At 39.6% G+C, this 20676-nt stretch overlaps 2 long non-coding RNA genes across 3 annotated transcripts in view; one reads left to right on the top strand and one right to left on the bottom strand.

The window, feature by feature from the left end:
- LOC339975 (uncharacterized) overlaps positions 1-20676 on the top strand; it is a 201531-nt gene that overhangs the window by 79070 nt on the left and 101785 nt on the right. The gene's annotated exons all lie outside the window — the stretch shown is intronic.
- Positions 10466-17694, bottom strand: LINC02515 (long intergenic non-protein coding RNA 2515). Of its 2 annotated transcripts, NR_183821.1 has the most exons (3): positions 17645-17694; positions 12833-12982; positions 10466-11234 (listed from the first exon to the last, which is right to left on the bottom strand). It is a non-coding gene; the product is annotated as a long intergenic non-protein coding RNA 2515 (long non-coding RNA). The 2 variants fall into 2 exon arrangements; NR_183820.1 differs by having other exon boundaries at positions 10466-12982.

Below are 20676 nucleotides of genomic sequence, written 5' to 3'. Positions count from 1 at the left end.
TGTTTCCACATCTGTAATATTAATAAAAGGATTTGAACTAGAGAATCTGCAGTTCCTTTCAGAGTATGATGCTAACAAATCTCAGAATTCATAATTTGTCTAATATCATAGATTTTTGGGGGCTTAAATTATGACCTCTAATGCTAGACACATGATAGTCCTGCTCATAATTCATCATAAACTTTAATTGGTTTGTAAGGTGATCTTTGGAAAATTAGGAAGCTAACAGATAGTCTCAGCTGTTTCATCTTGCTAGTTTGCTAACTACATTGGGCAACCTGGCCAGAGAGACTTCTTATAAATCATTTTTTTCCAAGCAAGCAGGTGAACAAATGAAGCTAGAGAATAAATATCTAGAAGGTTTTATACAAAAGAAAACTGCATTCTGTTGAAAATGTAAATTTTTGTAGCTTATGTTCAGTTTTGCCTCTGGAGAGTCAGAGAAAATAACAATGTCTATTTAATCCAGTATAAAAAAGAGAGTGTAGCTCATTCAGGTTTTCAGTTAGTGGTAGTAAGGAATAGGGTATACTGAGTTGTGCATATTTCTATTAGTTTGTGTCAGCTTCTAAAATTTTATGAGCAATCATTAAAGAAAGAGTCTTGAAAATGGGTCAACAAATTTAGTGTTTTCTTGAAAGATGTTACGGATTTTTAAAATTTTTTAAATGATCGTGACTGCTTCACTGGATTTGTGTTCCTGGAGTTAGTCTCATGTAGGACTGCTAGGATGCTCTTGGGGGGAAGTTGGATTGCTTTCTTCACTCTTGTCTTTTTGACTAGGAAATAATCTTGATTTGCTATCCTGAACCAGTGAAGTCCCTGGCTACCATTTCCTCCATCCATGTCCAGCTTCTTACCAAGCAGACACATAAGAGACCTAGATTTTAAGCAGCCTTTAACTCGAGTTATCTTTTGTAAATCTCAGTTGTGCAGAGTTGAGTTGGAGAGTGGAGAAATTAACATGCCTCTTTCTAGATCTCTTTTCTACCAGCGTTGTGCAAAAGCATAGAGCTGTAAAGTGGAGGTGTTCAGGTCTTCCCTGGACGTCTATAGCTTTCACACAGAGCTCCTCTCTTTTCGTCTTCACACCACTGCCTTTTCCTCTCCAGGTTGTTTTTTTTTTTTCTGGGAGATGGAGTCTCGCTCTATCTCGCTCTGCACTCAGGCTGGAGTGCAGTGGTGCGATCTCAGCTCACTGCAAGCACTGCCTCCTGGGTTCAAGCGACTCTCCTGTCTCCGCCTCCTGAGTAGCTGCAACTACAGGTGTGCGCCACAACGCTTGGCTAATTTTTTTGTATTATTATTAGAGATGGGGTTTCACCATGTTAGCTAGGATGGTCTTGATCTCCTGACCTCGTGATCTGCCCGCCTCGGCCTCCCAAAGTGCTGGGATTACAGATGTGAGCCACTGCTCCCGGCCCCAGTTCTTTCCATTCTGAAATTCCAGCCTTCCCGCTTGTGCCAGATGCACTACTGCATTTCTTAGGGTTCACTAAATGGTAACTCTACCTTTATATTTTGTCAATTGTTGCATTGCCTATCACTGATTGTAAATGCAAATCATCCTACCTCTAAGTAAAGGGGTCATGGTTTCATTTCTGGGTGTGGAAGGGACAAGAATGAACATTGGATTTCTCCTCCAATCACTCACTACTTGGAATTAATTCAAATTTACTCTATTAAGTCCCATTCATCACATTCTTAAAGACTCTGCTAAAGACCTACCTTGTCCAAAAAGCATTCTCCACCCATCTCTCTCAAATTCTTTAGATTCCTTTAGCACTTTTCATACTACTTAAATATTTGCTCATATTTTCTAGTATTTTTACATACAAATATTGTATTTCTGCATACATAAGTTTAAATCAAGGAAAGAAACTTTGTTCTCTCATGTGGAAATTTACGTTTAGAATCACAGAGTACTAGATGTGCAATTACTGTAGAGATCATCCAGTTCAATGGCCTCATTGCAATGATGAATAAATGGAATCATTTTACAGCCTCCCATTAACATATAACACAATGTACACAGTAAACATGCAACAAGCACTTCTGAATAAATGGAGTTCAGCTGCTCATTTAACTGCTCTCATTACCTTGACATGGTTGGCAGCATTTATTAAGTGCCCACCTCTATGCGCGACAGTGCTAGAAGCTAAGCAAATGGAATGGAAGTGAGGCCATCACAGTGTGAGGCAGATAACCCAGAAGCAGACAACTCTATTAAAGTCATAAGCCTAGTGGGGCGGTGGGAAGGGATCGGGGGCGGCTGCGGCATGCCTGCAATGAAGTGGTTCCTGAAGACGAAATTTCTAGTGGGATGGGGCGCAAGTTTCAAGGAATCTGCCAGTCCTCTGCAAACTAGTAAAATACCAATTTAATTCAAAGGGTAAGAGTTTGGAAGTTGAATAATAGTCCTGAAGCAGCCGGGACACTATGCTAATAATTGGCTAAGTCCAGGATCAATTCTCTTGAGAGACCGTATTCTAAATTATATTTACATTCCTAATTAGTTCTATTCTTTCCTATAACATGATTCTTCCAAGACATTTCTTCCCATTGTTGAATCTTTAACATGTATTCATGGTTGTTAGAGAAAATATCTTTATTGAAGGTTGTGTGCCTCATGTTGGAAGCATGTAATTTAAATATTAGATTGGTGCAAAAGTGATTGCGGTTTTTGCCATTTACTTTCAATGGCAAAAAATGCAATTATTTTTGCACCAACCTATATTTAATTTAAAAATAAAGTTAATTGCTCTTTGGACTAAGAGGGAAAATGTCTGAAGTTATGCTCAGTAGATGGGAATGAATGATTACCCACATTTATATAACCAGTTTATTTCCTAGGAGAAGTAAACTTTAGAGTTTGAAAATGCAAAGAAAGGCAAAATCGAGGTAGGAAGCTATTTCAGACAACAGGCAGTGAGTAGAAATAGCTAAGATGTCTAGTTGGGGAATAAGCGACTGAGTCAATGCAAATGTCTAGCAATGAGACAGGCAGAATATTTGGGATACAAAGCAAATGCTAGGTACTCTGAAAAGATGTAATGGTAAAAATTTAAGTGTATTACTGGGTACAAAGATAGAATAAATTAGATCTAGTGTTTGATATCACAACAGGGTGACTATAGTCAATAATAATTTAATTGTACATTTAAAAATAACTAAAAGAGTATAATTGGATTGTCTGTAACACGAAAGTTAAATAGTTGAGGTGATGGATACCCTGTTTTGTGATGATTACACACTGTATGCCTGTATCAGAATATCTCACCTACCCCATAAGTGTATATACCTACTCTGTAGTTGGAACCAAAATGCAGGTTTAGTCCCTTGCCACTTGCAGAGTCCAGTTAAAAAGAGTGAGGTCTGGTATAAAGAAAATGACTTTTTTTTTTTTTTTCCAAAGCTACCTTTGGGGAAGAAGCACAGGTTCCTACCATAAGGGTACTGCTTCCCTTTTGGAGCACAGAGTGGGCCCTTTTAAAGGGGGGACCTATGGGAGATGGAAGGGAGCAGGTAAGAGGGCTGCGTACTTACTTTGGTGCCTTATCTACCGGGCATTCGAGTTGGCTTCTTCATGGGCAGAAACAGGCTGTAAATGCAGCCAAAAACTCTAGCAGGCATATGCTGGGTTGTCAATCAACTGTTATCTCCCAAGGCAACCTCCTGATGGGTGAGGGTTCTGCTCTGGAGATGAACTTGCCCTGTAAGGAGTGCCTGGTAAATGGGAGATAAGAGGCTATAATTGCATTTCTAAAGAGCTAAGTAAGAAGTGAGGAAAAGGAGGAGAGGAAAAAGAAGAGAGAGAAAAATAATAAGCTATCTCTTAGAAAAATGGGATACTCAGTCACATACCTACAAAAATTAATAATTAAAAATTTTAAGTGTAATACGCATTTACAAAAAATTCAAACACTCTGTAAAAGTATTTAGAAGAAAGTGAAAGTCTCTTTTCTCACATTTCATTTGAACTCCCCAGAAATTAACATTTGTTATCAGAATCGTTTGATTCTTTTTCAAAAATTCTCATGAATATCTTCATGTCTACTTCCTTTCTGTCTTTCTACCCATCTATCCATCCACCTTTCTTTATTTTAACCTATCTACAGCTATAGATATTAATCTATTTACCTTCATGTTTCTGAAGCTATGGGTGTATAGAGTTTTAACATAAGTGCAACCATTATACACTTCATTCTGAAACTTTCCTTTTTGTCTTAGAAATTAGCAACATATATGGACATTTTTCCAAATAAACAACTGTATTCTATTTTACTTTTTTCCAGCTGCAAAATATTACATCACATGAGTATACAACATTTTTAATTTAATTACTTTCTTACTAATAGACATTTAGGTTATTTCAAGGTTTGTTAAAATTGACTTCCCTGGTATTTATCTTTGTAATAGATTCAGAGCATTTAAAGCCTCCTCATAGGAGTATTGAGGGAAGGTTTCAAGAAGGGCATCTAGTGAGGGGAGAAATGAGTAAACATGGTTTAATCAGATGGAATATTGAATGCAATCAGAGTCAGAGCCACACTGCATAGTAATATACACATAGAAAAATCCTTACCATATTCAAACATGTTTAGTTAAAGCCATGAAAGTTCATGAAATTTTCTGTATTTAAAATCCACTTAACACTGATTATAAAATTCAAGTCATCATTCTGGATATTATTAGTTATTATGTTTAAGTTCGAATGAGAGGGATTTATACAGAAGTAACATTTTTGTCTTGGCAAGATTTTTTTGTAACCAGAGGCAGCAATGAGAATGTTCAGGAACTGAGCTGTGTACTAAATCATTCTCTACTTAATTGTTTGTCAGAGCTTCCCAAACCACCAATGATTCTCTTCCTCGAGTCTTGTAATTCCTGCAGACTTTAAGACAGGACACTAATTCCAGTTTCAAAAAGCTAATTTACGATACCTTCCCAATTTATTTATAGTCCACTCCAAACCTGTAAGTCAGGATAAAGCTGCTGATCTCTCTCATAGGAATGGTATAAAGACAATGGTGAGAGGTGACAGCGTGCTGGCAGTCCTCAGAGCCCTCGCTTGCTCTCGGCGCCTCCTCTGCCTGGGTTCCCCCTTTGGCGGCACTTGAGGAGCCTTTCGGCCCGCCGCTGCACTGTGGGAGCCCCTTTCTGGGCTGGCCAAGGCCAGAGCCGGCTCCCTCAGCTTGCAGGGAGGTGTGGAGGGAGAGGCGCAAGCAGGAATTGGGGCTGCACACAGCGCTTGCGGGCCAGCTGGAGTTCTGGGTGGGCGTGGGCTTGGCGGGCCCCGCACTCGGAGCAGCCAGCCAGCCAGCCCTACTGGCCCCGGGCAATGGGGGACTTAGCACCCGGGCCAGTGGCTGCGGAGGGTGTACTGAGTCCCCCAGCAGTGCCGGCCCACCGGCGCTCAGCTCGATTTCTTTTTTTTTTTTTTTTTTTTTGAGACGGAGTCTCGTTCTGTCGCCCAGGCCGGACTGCGGACTGCAGTGGCGGAATCTCGGCTCACTGCAAGCTCCGCTTCCCGGGTTCACGCCATTCTCCTGCCTCAGCCTCCCGAGTAGCTGGGACTACAGGCGCCCGCCACCGCCCCCGGCTAATTTTTTGTATTTTTAGTAGAGACGGGGTTTCACCTTGTTAGCCAGGATGGTCTCGATCTCCTGACCTCATGATCCACCCGCCTCGGCCTCCCAAAGTGCTGGGATTACAGGCGTGAGCCACCGCGCCCGGCCTCAGCTCGATTTCTTGCCGGGCCTTAGCTGCCTTCCCACGGGGCAGGGCTCGGGACCTGCAGCCTGCCATGCCTGAGCCTCCCACCCACTCCATGGGCTCCTGTGCAGCCCGAGCCTCCCCGACGAGCACCACCCCCTGCTCCATGGCGCCCAGTCCCATTGACCACCCAAGGGCTGAGGAATGCGAGCACAGGGTGCAGGACTGGCAGGCAGCTCCACCTGCAGCCCCAGTGTGGGATCCACTAGGTGAAGCCAGCTGGGCTCTTGAGTCTGGTGGGGAAATGAAGAATCTTTATATCTAGCTCAGGGATTGTAAATACACCAATCGGCACTCTGTATCTAGCTCAAGGTTTATAAACACACCAATCAGCACCCTGTGTTTAGCTCAAGGTTTGTGAGTGCACCAATTGACACTCTGTATCTAGCTGCTCTGGTGAGGACGTGGAGAACCTTTTAATGTCTAGCTCAAGGATTGTAAATACACCAATCGGCACTCTGTATCTAGCTCAAGGTTTGTAAATACACCAATCAGCACCCTGTGTTTAGCACAAGGTTTGTGAATGCACCAATCGACACTCTGTATCTAGCTGCTCTGGTGAGGACGTGGAGAACCTTTATGTCTAGCTCAAGGATTGTAAATACACCAATCGGCACTCTGTATCTAGCTCAAGGTTTGTAAACACACCAATCAGCACCCTGTGTTTAGCTCAAGGTTTGTGAATGCACCAATCGACACTCTGTATCTAGCTGCTCTGGTGGGGCCTTGGAGAAACCTGTGTGTCGAAACTCTGTATCTAGCTAATCTGATGGGGACCTGGAGAACCTTTGTATCTAGCTCAGGAATTGTAAACGCACCAATCAGGCCCTGACAAAACAGGCCACTCAGCTCTACCAATCAGCAGGATGTGGGTGGGGCCAGATAAGAGAATAAAAGCAGGCTGCACGAGCCAGCATTGGTAACCCGCTCGGGTCCCCTTCCACACTGTGGAAGCTTTGTTCTTTCCCTCTTTGCAATAAATATTGCTACTGCTCACTCTTTGGGTCCACGCTGCTTTTATGAGCTGTAACACTCACCGCGAAGGTCAGCAGCTTCACTCCTGAGCCAGCGAGACCACGAACCCACCAGAAGGAAGAAACTCCGAACACATCTGAACATCAGAAGGGACAGACTCCAGACGCGCCACCTTAAGAGCTGTAACACTCACCGCGAGGGTCCGAGGCTTCATTCTTGAAGTCAGTGAGACCAAGAACCCACCAATTCCGGACACAATGGCATGAAGACAATGTGGTAATATTTGTAAAAAAATCTGCATATTACAAATGTTTAATAGTGAATTTCAACTATTTTAGCTATGTAGAAAATGATGAGTTTCAAAATGGGGAAAGAAAATCAATTTTTCTTTTTAGATTATTGAAGTAATCCTTAAACATTATTAGTCTTGTGAGTGTGGTACTCACAAAGGGGCATGGGATAGAGGCAGGTGTCTCTCCACGCCCATGGGGTGTGCAACTGGCCTCTTTGTGCTGCCTAGAAAAGAGAAGGGACTGAGCAGGGGAAAAGGACAGAAGATGTGAAGGAGGCCATTCGGACAAGCATCAGAAAGAGAGCAGTGGGTTGGGGACAGCATTGGTCTATTTTTCAGGAGGGTGGATAGATCCAGGCCAATGCTTCTCACTCTCTCATTTGCACGTGTGTCACCTGTGGTCTTATGAAAATACAGATTCTGATTCAGTAGTTCTGCATTTCTAACACACTCCCAGGTGATGCCAATGCGCCATACTTTAACTAGCAGGGCAGTCTAAGTATTCATGGGAAGATTAGCCATGAGAATGGGCGGCACAGCTCTGATGGAAGCCGTCGATTCACATGAGGCTGGACAATTTCATCTGGGGCTGGTACTCATTCATGGCTTCAAGGGATTGCAAGCACAGTTCTAAACATGTTATTAAATATTCAGCAATTTCTGTTAATGTTGGAATGTTAATTTCAGATGCCAAAAACCGTATTTGGCAAACAGTATGAGAAAATGGGTGAAGGATGAGCTTTCAGTTCTCAGAACGCTATTTTAGTCTAGAGTTATGATGCCAATTTATAGGCTCTTGAGGATGGGTGGGAAGTGAATTGGAGGAAACCGGGAAGAAAAAGGGCAAGAGAATGGAGAGAACTGGAAGAAAGTGACCCCCAAATGTCTATAATATTTTGTTCAATCATAGCAGAAATGTTAGTAGCTCTTCATAAAGATTAATAACTTGTTAACAAACAAGTGTTCATTACATCTGCCTAAACAAGTGAATTTCATCAGAATAAAAAATTATTCATGTTCATTCTTCTCAAGTGTGATGTCAAATTACTGATTTAATGCAATCTTTCACTTTAAAAAGGTTTTCACCTCATTTTGGCAAAGTCATATACTTTTTAAGTTTAGATTGCTTCAAACAGGGAGGACCACAGAAATCACGTCACAAGGAGCTACGGTTCTTCCATATTCTGTCATGTCACCTGCTAGTGTGATAGCTAAAAATGTCATGCAAGCTGTGTCTAAATATCCATCAAGGCCTGGTGTTTCCTAATTGTGAGAAAGCATGTTTTTTCTTTACCTGAATAATACTCAGAGAATTTCAAAATGATTGGGTTTTTTAAGATAAAAGAAACATACTGACATCAAAATGTTCTATTTCAAAAACTTTGTTTAATATTTCTTTTTGGCCTGGTGGATTTTGAAATTAACTTTCATGTTTTGACCAAAGAATGGTGTGTCCCTCAGCCTGACCCCTGCTATCATCAGGCATGACTATACTTGTTGCTTTCCATACATAATTGCATTTGAAAAACTAGGCTTAATGTCTTGAACTTGGGCCAAAGTGTTGAAAGATGTAAACATCAGATAATTTGGCTTTAAAGCAGTGCCACTTTCTTCTTCCATTCTGCCCTGTTTCTCAATATGTTCACTCTTCTCGGATTCTTCTGGTAGCATAATTAAAATGTCGTACACCATTTCCAAGCACATTTAGCTCCTTTGAGAAGTTAAAATATTGAAGCTGGGAAATGTACCGAAAACATGTTTAATTTTCTCCCCACTTTTGAACTAGATAGGAAGCAGTCAGTCAACACTGACTTATTGGACTTTTACTGGGTGCTGTGAGTAGATTATATGCACAAGTGTTGAAAAACTCTGAAACATGTATCCGGTTTGGAGAAGATGATCTACTAATGCTTCTACAAAGGAAAGAGTCCTTTTGATGTCAGTGAAAATTCAGATAGGATGACAAGTGAGAAGCTGACCCATAGTTAATAGCTAATACACAATTTAAATAGTCCCTAAAACTCAATAATAAAAAATTTAAAAAGTAAAAATTAAAATTAACATGGCCATTAAATTGTTTTAAAAAAACAATTGCTCTTTATACCAGGAAATCTGAAATAAGGAAGAAATAAAGACATACTAGCACTGTGAAACCATGCAAATGTTTGCTAAGGGTTCTATCTATATATTCATCTATTTATCTTTCCATCTATTAATTTTCTTTGATTCAAAATCAGAATTTAAATAGAATGCTAATTTTCTCCTAACCTGATACCTGTTTTGTGGTTTACCTCAATATGCTCACAGTACAATCGTAAAGAAGGTACTCTAATCTTCAGTGCCAGAAAAAGGACAGAAAAAGACTCTGAGGCTGTGTCATATACCCTAGTGTTGGTATTTGTTTGAGAGTCATCATATTAAACCTGGCTTGATAAAGAGAATGTTCGTTTTCTTTTTCTACATTGCTCACATGAAAATTTCCAGTTATATTTGACTTATAGTTTTATACAGTTAAAATCAATAAGTAAAATCAAATAATATGCAATATTTCTTTTTTTCCTTTTTTTTTTTTTTTTTGAGACAGGGTCTCACTCTGTTGCCCACACTAGAGGGCAGTGGCGAGATCTCTGGTCACTGCAAGCTCCGCCTCCCGGGTTCACGCTATTCTCCTGCCTCAGCCTCCTGAGTAGCTGGGACTACAGGCGCCCACCACCACGCCCAGTTAATTTTTTGTATTTTTAGTAGAGACGGGGTTTCACTGTGTTAGCCAGGATGGTCCTGATCTCCTGACCTCGTAATCTGTCCGCCTCGGCCTCCCAAAGTGCTGGGATTACAGGCGTGAGCCACAACGCCTGGCTGCAATATTTCTTAATTTTAAAACCACACTTTAAAATTTGCCTGTACTATACCAAACCAAACCATACTAGAAAATGCACAGCGATGATATAATGCTCTATCAAAATTCTATATAGCTTTTATGATGGGCTTATTGGCTTCTTTGACATACTGGCTTATTACACATCTGAAATCATATCATTGCAACATTAGAGAGCAAATGTCGTAAGCCATTATCTTCCAGCTTTGCAATCTATGGCTGTTTCTAAATTTGTCACCACATTAACATTCCAGATGTTATCATTAGTACATGATTATAACAACAGCAACAAGAAACGGAGTTTATGGTGGTGGCATCAACTATTAAAATGCTCTTCTATATTTTCAGATTAATACATACAAAGTAGCATTAACAATTACTTTTTTAAAGAAATGGTGTCAGCATGGCCATGATGTCCATACGATAAGCCAGAAATATCACTTTCTTTCTCTGAAGTGGTATGTACTCATCACAGGCAATGTTTATTGCTAAAATAACTGAAAAAAATTGTCAAGGCAAAAGAATTCAGATAATTTCAAGCTCTGTTATATGTTTGGTAATTTTGTCTTTATTTGCTTAAAGCAAAATATACAAGCACTTAGAATTTTTCAGGAATAGTTATCTACTCCTTTTGTTTTTATTTACCTCACATTTTTGAATTTGTAATATAGTATCTATCAAAGAAACAAATTATAATTTAAAGATACCTTTCTTAACATCTGACTTGAGGAACTCTACCAGGGTCTTGTTTCACTCTTCATCTCATTTCTCTTTCTGTCTCTGTCTCTGCTCTTCTATTTTCTCTGTATGAATATGTATTGAATGAAGATTTCCCTTTTCCCCTTTTGAGATGAGCAAGAAGTAACAATTACAAAAAATTCCGTTTTATTTATTTAACTGCCTTGTCAAGAAATGAGAGAAGACTCCAAGTGGATCAACTTTTTTTTTTTTTTCATTTTAAACATGATGAACAAAAGCCATTTTGATTTATTATTTTCTTTCAAAGGACAGGTGACATTTCCTGCAACACTGACTTTAGTTCATAATCCTCTTTTGACAAGCCAAAGAAAATTACAATTGGAAGGATTTTCACAGTCAGACGCTCCACTAGAATGAAATGCCGTAGAGCACTTCATTTCAGCCAAACCAGCACAATCCTCCCATTGCCAATTTTTCTTTTATATTTTGAAGTTGGCCTCTCAGCACAGATTTGATTCACACCATTTAAAAATAAATCTGGCATCTGCAAAGCAGAAAATTCAGGCTGTGTTGTCACAGGATCAGTATTTCCATTTTTATGCTTGGAGACAACCTAAACTTAAAAAAAAAAAGCCACAGTTCCGAATTCTATGGCAATGGAAGGCTAATTTTATTTTAAATATACACATTTGTTATATTTACTAAAGAAAACAAATTACTACATTTATTACATGGCACATTCAACATTTTTATGAGTGATTCAATTGCATGAGAAATAGGTATTTGTGTTACAATGTGATACCCTATGGCAACCACTGATTTGGAGGTACATAGCTTAAACAGGAATTTGGATTCAATATCAATATGCCATTTTGTTCTCAATTTTTTAAAATGATTTCGTCATTCTCTGCTTAAAATCAACTAAGCAAATGGTGGTATTTTCCGGGCATCTGTGTGTGGCTTGACCCTAAAATGACCCTTGACAATCTCACTATTCTGCTCATGCTTCCTGCACACACAGGCCTCTCTGCCCATCAAGAGATGGGACTTATGTCTTCCCCTTTGAATCTAGGCTGGGCCTGTGACTGGTTGGACCAAGATGAAGCAGAGGAATTGCTGTTCTGGGATTTTGGAGCCCAGGCCTTAGAATGTGACAGCTTCTCCTTCCCTCATCTCAGAGCCTTTGGCCAGTAAGTAAGAAGTCCAAACTACCGTGTGTGTGTGTGTGTGTGTGTGTGTGTGTGTGTGTGTGTGCGTGCCCGCATGTGTGTGTGTGGTCCTGGAGGATAAGACAACACATAAAGAGCAAGGCCACAGTTGTCACAGCCAAGAGGAGCCCAAGGAGACATGACAACTAAATATGACATGGTATCCAGATGAGATCTTGGAACAGAAAAGGACATTTTGTAAAAACTAAAAAAAATAAAAAATAAAAAAAATAAAAAAAAACTGAAAAAAATCTGGACTTTAGTTAATAACAATGCATCAATATGGGCATATTAATTGTAACACTTGTACATCACTGATATAAGATGTTAGTAACAGAGAAAACTGGGTGTGGGGTATGTGTGAACCCTCTGTAGTATTGCCCAAGTTTTCTGTATGTCGAAAACTGTTCTTAAAAAGTAAGATTATTTAAAACAGCAACATAGAGTGAAGCCCCTGGGGAGGAACATGAGGGAGTTAGACCTGGAGCCACGGCAGCTTCAGCCCAATCTGATGGTAACTGCATGAGAAACTACACATGTGAGCAGCAGAAGAGGCACGCAGCTGAGCCCTGACAAGAGCTGATGAAACAGCTGTTTAAATCTCTCCATTTTGAAGTTGTGCTCTAATACATAAACATGCTACTTCAATTTGGTTATATCTACAACATATGCCTATTTTATGACATTTAACTTTAAAAAATAAATCACTAAGAAGTTCATTCTATTGAGAGAAATAGAGATGTCTGGAGAAGAGATTGCTTTCCAGGAAAGATGGTTGTTTAGTTTGAAATATGAACATATAGGTTCTGGGGGCAAAACTTGGGTTCATTTGTTTGGTTTATTTCCAACTAGCAGTGTGTACTAGGACAAGTTATCTCTCTTCTTACTACATAGGAGTTTTTTCTCCTCTATAAAATATTTTACAGTATTTATATTACAGAGTTATGATGATGACTAAAAGAGATAATGCATGTAGGCTGATAACATGATTTAAAACACAAGACTTACTGCTTAAATGTTACCTCTGAGCAGATGTGCTCAACATGCTACACTCCCAAGCTTTGTCTCTTCACCCCATCCATGAGGCTGCCCAGGAGAGGCCGTTTCTTCCATTGTGCAGTTAACTGCAGATGTAGGTCCAGTCCTTTTAGATGATGTCTGAGGAAATATTAAACTCTCAGTTATTGAGCAATTAGCATATGCCAAGTTTTTATGTATATCATCTCTTCATGACTACTATCCAAGATGGATATTTTTATAGCCTTTTATCCTATAAGGAAATCTGTGCTTTGCAGTAAGTTACCTGTCCAGGCTCAACAAGTAGCAGGTGGTAGAGCTGGTGTCCAAGCTCAGGTCGTCTGATTCCCAAGCCCATGTACTCACACACCATTCCTTATGTCCTCTGTCTGTATGACTTACTCTTTCTTTTTTATTAATTCATTAAATCCTATTCTACAATGTTCTATTTTACCTTGGCTTTATCTTATGTTATGCTAAAGGAAGCGCTTCATGTCTTTTTTAGGACACAAGCTTAGCACTTTACAAGCTGTCGTTTTGCTCATATGAAACCAGCTAGCTATTAACCAGTCTGATCTAGGTCAGAATTTTTTACTATTTTTTTTTCTGTGAAACTCCATCAGAAAGGAAGAGATGAAGATACATATAGGTGCTTAAATTGGGAAGGTCTAGAAGTAGAATACTCAAGTAGTGGGAGGAAATATTTTTATACTTAAAGAATGAAAAACTCTGTACAGCTAGATAAAGGTCAAGGAAAAAAACACCATTCTGCAGTGATTGAGTTGAAGAATAGAATTAGGTTATGATGAAGGGCATCAGATGATAATGACAGATATGAAAAGGAAAAAAATAAGATATGAGAAATACAATACGGTCTGCTAATATTGGCAATGTTCTCAAGAATTCAGCCACAGAGGAGAGAACCAATGTCACATAACTAACCTCTGATCATAATCTCTTAAGGGTAAATAAAGAAGGAACAGGAGCATTTCTATACAAATATTTCACAAAATAACATGTTTTTAAAAGCCTTAAAGTTGATTATCTGAACAAATACCCAGGATGCCCAAGCCCACCAGGTTAGGAGTTGTACTTCGTGAGTATTGGAAACGGCTTCCCTCCTGTAAAGTGGCCATTCCACTGCATTTTCGCTGCTCGGTAATTGCTGCAGGAACAACAATCGATGAGGAACGAGGAGACCAAGATAAGAGAAAACAATCCCTTATACAGGGGAAGATCCTAGTATAAAAGCTTTATAATGATATATGATAAAAGGAAGAGTTATATTACTCCCTTCTAATTAGATATTGAACAATGAATTTATAGTTTCTTAAAGCAAGATGCACATTCGGCCTTATGTGGCTGTTATTTATATACTTGTTTTATTTACTTTCCCAGATATATAAAAGCTTGGGGTTTGTGGTAGGCGGGATAATGCTTCTCCCAAAGAGGTTATGCCCCAGTTCCTGGGATCCGTGAATGTGTTATGTCACACAGTAAAAGGGACTTTGCAGATGGCCCTTTGCAGATGGTACCACCTTTCCGATGGGGAGAGGATCCTGGATTATCACAGGTGGGTCCACTGTAATCACATGAATTCTTAACAGCTAAGAACTTTGACTGGTGGGTCAGGGAGATTTGACATGGGAGAGACTCCATCCATCATTGCTGATTTTGAAGATAGAGGAAGAAGTCAGAAAGCCAGCAATGTGGCAGCCTCAGGAAGTTAATAATGACCCAGAGTTTACAGCCAGCAAGAACACAGGAATCTAAATCCTGCCACTGCAGATAAATTAATTCTGCCAACAACCTCAATGAGCAAGGAAACAGATTCTCTTGGCGAGGCTCCTGAAAGGAGCTCCAGCATATAGACCTTGACGTTAGCCTCGTGAGACCAGCAACAGACTTTTGAGATACAAACCTGTAAGATAATAAATTAGTGTTCTAAGCCTAGCCTACATTTGTGGTAATCTGTTTCAGCAGCAATAGGAAACTTATACAAGGATAATTATTACATCTCATCCATCCTACAGTTTTATAGAGGATAGCACAGTGCCTGTGTGTGCATAATAATAATCATTGCTAAAATTTATTGATCATTTATTCTGTTATTCTAAAAAACACAAAGGGGCATATCATTATTATCATCCTCATTTTACAGAAAAGGAATCTAGGCTTAGACAGAACTGACAGTGACCCTAAACATCTTCTATTTCCTTTTCCGATTTTCAGAGCTGTAGAAATAACTTGTGTGTGTTTATTACAGTAAACCTAATTTAAAGAGCCTTCACATAATGGTGCAGCTAACTCCCCATGTCTTTGTTAACTATATAGACATTAATGGTAACCAGGGGCTAGAAATGTTTTTCATCAATGTTAAATTTAAGCAATAATTGATACAATTTATTTTAAAAGCTAAAAGCATTGATGCGAGTACTTAAGACCAAGCTTAGTGAATCAATCAAATTTCATTATGTTCTTGCAGAAGCATCTTTTTATTACCAAAACCATTACCAATTCAATTAACATTTTACTTCAAACCAAAAAACAATATTCAATAGAATAATAATACTTATAAGCTCATACCCATCAAGTCTTGTGCTTCAAATCTCCCCATACTCAAAAAATGTTATATTGTCTAGGTAAACCATATGTGTGCAGGTTAATTACTTAGAAGAGAAGCTGCCAGATCTCTTTGAGTTGTTATCTACATGTCTATTAAAGATATGTCTTATAGATGTTATCTATATATCTATTAAATTATGTTTGTTACCTTCCTATTATTTTAAGGATACTTAGAATAGGAAGGTAACAAATACAATTTAATCCAGTGACCAGCTCTAATTTTCTTGTATGGAACAAGTAGAATTAGGTAAAGCAATGTAAGCATTGTGTTTCCTGTGATAATGATTATGAAAAGACCAAGAGGCCATCAACCTCTATCTACTGTGTAGCATTTACACTAATTTTCACATTGACTTCCCCACCAAATACAGTAGGCATCTTTAGGTATATTTTGTGTATGGAAATCCAGGCTTTGAAAGGTTGGGTATCGGCCAGGCATGGTGGCTCACGCCTCTAATCCCATCACTTTGGGAGGCTGAGGTGGGAGGATCACGAGGTCAGGAGTTGGAGACCAGCCTGACCAACATGCTGAAACCCTGTCTCTGCTAAAAATACAAAAAATAGCCAGGCATGGTGGCACATGCTTGTAATCCCAGCTACCCAGGAGGCTGAGGCAGGAGATTCACTTGAACCTGGGGGGCAGAGGTTGCAGTGAGCAGAGATTGAGCCACTGCACTCCAGACTGGGCAACAGAGGGAGACTCTGTCTCAAAAAAAGAATAAAAAAAAGAAAGATTGGGTATCTTGTACATAGACACAGATACAACCAATATCTAAATATGAAAGTGTCTAGAATTAGCAAGCTTCTCTGTTTATGCATATCAACTTTTCGTGGTTCCTCTTCATTCTAAAAATTCTATCCTGAAATTGCTTCAGGTCTTCATCAGGGCAAAAAATTTAATTAACCCAAATAGTAAATGTATAAATAATACTTTTTGTTACATGGAAATAAGTGGCATTGCTACGATACTTAGTAAATTTGTCCTTGAAAATGTTTCCATTGCTTTTGCTTTTAGCTGAGCTCTACATGTGCTAAAAAACACCTAATACTTTATTTCCAATATTTCCAAAGTAAGATAATAATAAATGTATGTGCTAAGATAAAATCAGGGCTATGTGTATGTGAATATAGGTACATACATATATGAAATATGTATGTCAATAATATTTATGAAAGATATATGAAAAAATATATATCTGAAATAAAGATATCTTTAGCCACTATATATGTATGTGTGTATGTGTGTGTGCATATATCTATCAGAGCTATATATTTCACATATGTACATATATATGAAAGATATAGGTGTTTGAGTTTCAACAGTTAAATTCTTAGTCAATGTACATTTATTTTCAAGTTTTATTTCTTCTTTACGATATAGCCCCTGAAATAATAGGGGGGAAATAAATAAATATATATATATATATATATATATATATATATATATATATATATATATAGTTGTCCTAAAATGTTTTCCCTGAGAAAACTGTTTAATATTTTTATTGTCTTATAATCCAGGATCTCCACTGATTAATCATTTAATGTTTATTACATTACATATATTCATTCATTTTTTTCATTAATTTATATAAGTGTTACTTCCAAAGGTTTCTTTTTGTAAAACAGATTTTTGTAGAGTGTTAGTGTACTACTACAGCAAGAATAGCCACATAGGAACCAATGCATATTTATTAAAACTGTATTCAACTCTACCTCTCAATTCCATGATTTGACTTGAGGAAATAACCAGTATCTTTAACACATACGTAAATCTGGATTTCAAGACACCAGACATAATTTTAGTTCTAAATGATTAAGATTTTGAAGCATTCTTTATACTTCTGTCTATAAAAAACTAAAATCATATTTAAGTAAAATTTTAATAGGCACAATATGTAGATGATCCTATAATTTGTATAGTTATAAAAATTATTTTGTAAGTTTTAATAAAATAAATGCAGCCAGTTATATTTAATAACTTAGATATTTAAAGTAGAGTAAAAATATTTTACCCAACATTTTAACACAAATAAATTTTAAATTACATGACTTCTACACATTTATAGTGCAGTAAAAAAAAGAGCAATCCTTATTATTTATTCATTCATTCCAAAAATCGCTATTGACCACTAAATCTAGCTTATCGGATATACATGCAAAGATAAGAAAACTTACTCGAGATGGGCTGGCAAGGTGGCCAAATAGGAACCGCTTCAGTCTGCAGTTCCCAGCGAGATCAATGCAGAAGGTGGGTGATTTCTGCATTTCCAACTGAGGTACCTGGCTCATCTCACTGAGACTGGTTAGACAGTGCGTGCAGCACATGGAGGGCAAGCCAAAGCAGGGTGGGGTGTTGCCTCATCCAGGAAGCGCAAGGGGTCAGAGAAGTCCCTCCGCCAGCCAAGGGAAGCCATGAGGGACTGTGCCCTGAGGGACGGTGCATTCGGCCCAGATACTACGCTTTTCCCACGGTCTTTGCAACCGGCAGACCAGGATATTCCCTGGGGTGCCTACACCACCAGGGCCCTGGGTTTCAAGCACAAAACTGGGCAGCCGTTTGGGCAGACACCCAGCTGGCTGCAGGAGTTTTTCTTCATACCCCAGTGGCACCTGGAACACCAGTGAGACAGAACCGTTCGCTCCCCTAAAAAGGTAGCTGAAGCCAGGGAGCCAAGTGGTCTAGCTCAGCGGATCCCACCCCCATGGAGGCCAGCAAGCCAAAATCCACTGGCTTGAAATTCTCGCTGCCAACACAGCAGTCTGAAGTCGATCTGGGACGCTCGAGCTTGGTGGGGGGCGGGGTGTCCACCATTACTGAGGCTTGAGTAGTTGGTTTTCCCTTCACAGTGAAATCAAAGCCACCAGGAAGTTCAGACTGGGCAGAGCCCACCGCAGCTCAGCAAAGCTGCTGTAGCCAGACTGCCTCTCTAGATTCCTTCTCTCTGGGCGGGGCATCTCTGAAAGAAAAGCAGCAGCACGATTCAGGGGCTTATAGATAAAACTCCCATCTCCCTGAGATACAGCACCTGGGGGAAGGGACGGCTGTGGGCGCAGCTTCACCAAACTTAAATGTTCCTGCCTGCTGCCTCTGAAGAGAGCAGTGGATCTCCCAGCACAGCTCTTGAGCTCTGCTAAGGGACTCACTGCCTCCTCAAGTGGGTCCCTGACCCCCGTGCCTCCTAACTGGGAGACACCCCCCAGCAGGGATCGACAGACACCTTATATAGTAGAGCTCCAGCTGGCATCTGGCAGGTGCCCCTCTGGGACGAAGCTTCCAGAGGAAGGAACAGGCAGCGATCTTTGCTATTCTGCAGCCGCCAGTGGTGACACCCAGGCAAACAGGGTCTGGAGTGGACCTCCAGCACATTCCAGCTGACCTGCAGCAGATGGCCTGACTGTTAGAAGGAAAACTAACAAACAGAAAGGAATAGCATCAACATCAACGAAAAGGGCGTCCACACAGAAACCCCAACTGTATGTCACCAACATCAAAGACCAAAGGCAGATAAATCCGTGAAGATAAGGAAAAACCAGAGCAAAAAGGCTGAAAATTCCAAAAACCAGAACACCTCTTCTCCTCCAAAAGATCATAGCTCCTCGCCAGCAAGGCCACAAAACTGAATGGAGAATGACTTTGACAAATTGACAGATGTAGGCTTCAGAAGATGCATGATAACAAACTCCTCTGAGCTAAAGGAGCGTGTTCTAACCCAAGGCAAGGAAGCTAAGAACATGGAAAAAGTTTAGACAAATTGCTAACTAGAAAAACCAGTTTAGAGAAGAACATAAATGACCTGATGGAGCTGAGAAACACAGCACAAGAGCTTTGTGAAGCATACACAAGTATCAATAGCTGAATTGATCAAGCAGAAGAAAGGATATCAGAGATTGAAGATCAACTTAATGAAATAATGTGTGAAGGCAACATTAGAGAAAAAAGAATGACAAGAAATGAACAAAGCCTCCGAGAAATATGGGACTATGTGAAAAGACCAAACCTATGTTTGTACCTGAAAGTGATGGGGAGAATGGAACCAAGTTGGAAAATACTCTTCAGGGTATTATCCAGGAGAACATCCCCAACCTAGCAAGGCAGGCCAACATTCAAATTCAGGACATACAGAGAACACCACAAAGATACTCCTTGAGAAGAGCAACCCCAAGACACATAATTGTCAGATTCACCAAGGTTGAAATGAAGGAAAAAATGTTAAGGGCAGCCAGAGAGAAAGGTCGGGTTACCCACAAAGGGAAGCCCATCAGACTTACAGCAGAGCTCACTGCAGAAACCCTACAAGCCAGAAGAGAGTGGGGGCCAATATTCAACATTATTAAAGAAAAGAATTTTCAACCCAGAATTTCATATCCAACCAAACTAAGCTTCATACGTGAAGGAGAAATGGAATCCTTTACAGACAGCAAATGCTGAAATATTTTGTCACCACCAGGCCTGCCTTACAAGAGCTCCTGAAAGAAGCACTAAATATGGAAAGGAAAAACCAGTACCAGCCATGGCAAAAACATACCAAATTGTATAGACCATTGACACTATGAAGAAACTCCACAAACTAATGGGCAAAATAACCAGCTAGCATCATAATGACAGGATCAAATTCACACATAACAATATTAACCTTAAATATAAATGGGCTAAATGCCCCAACTAAAAGACACAGGCTGGCAAATTGGATAAAGAGTCAAGACCCATTGGTGTAGACCCATTGGTGTGCTGTATTCAGGAGACCCATCTCACATGCAAGGACAAACATAAGCTCAAAATAAAGGGATGGAGAAATATTTACCAAGCAAATGGAAAGCAAAAAAAGAGGAGGAGTTGCAATCCTAGTCTCTGATAAAACAGACTTTAAACCAACAAAGATCAAAAAAGACAAGGAAGGGCATTACATAATGGTAAAGGGATCAATGCAACAAGAAGGGCTAATTATCCTAAATATATATGCACCCAATACAGGAGCACCCAGATTCATAAAGCAAGTTCTTAGAGACCTACGAAGAGACTTAGACTCCCACACAATAATAGTGGGAGATTTTCAACACCCCACTGTCAATGTTAGACAGATAAATGAGACAGAAAATTAACAAGGATACTCAGGACTTGAACTCACCTCTGGACCAAGCGGAACTAATAGACATCTACAGAACTGTCCACCCCAAATCAACAGAATATACATTCTTCTCAGCTACAC

Source organism: Homo sapiens, chromosome 4 (genome assembly GCF_000001405.40).
Source record: "Homo sapiens chromosome 4, GRCh38.p14 Primary Assembly".
Taxonomy (NCBI): domain Eukaryota; kingdom Metazoa; phylum Chordata; class Mammalia; order Primates; family Hominidae; genus Homo; species Homo sapiens.
The sequence above is the reverse complement of the archived record's forward strand: the minus strand, read 5'-3'. Positions and strand labels throughout refer to the sequence as shown.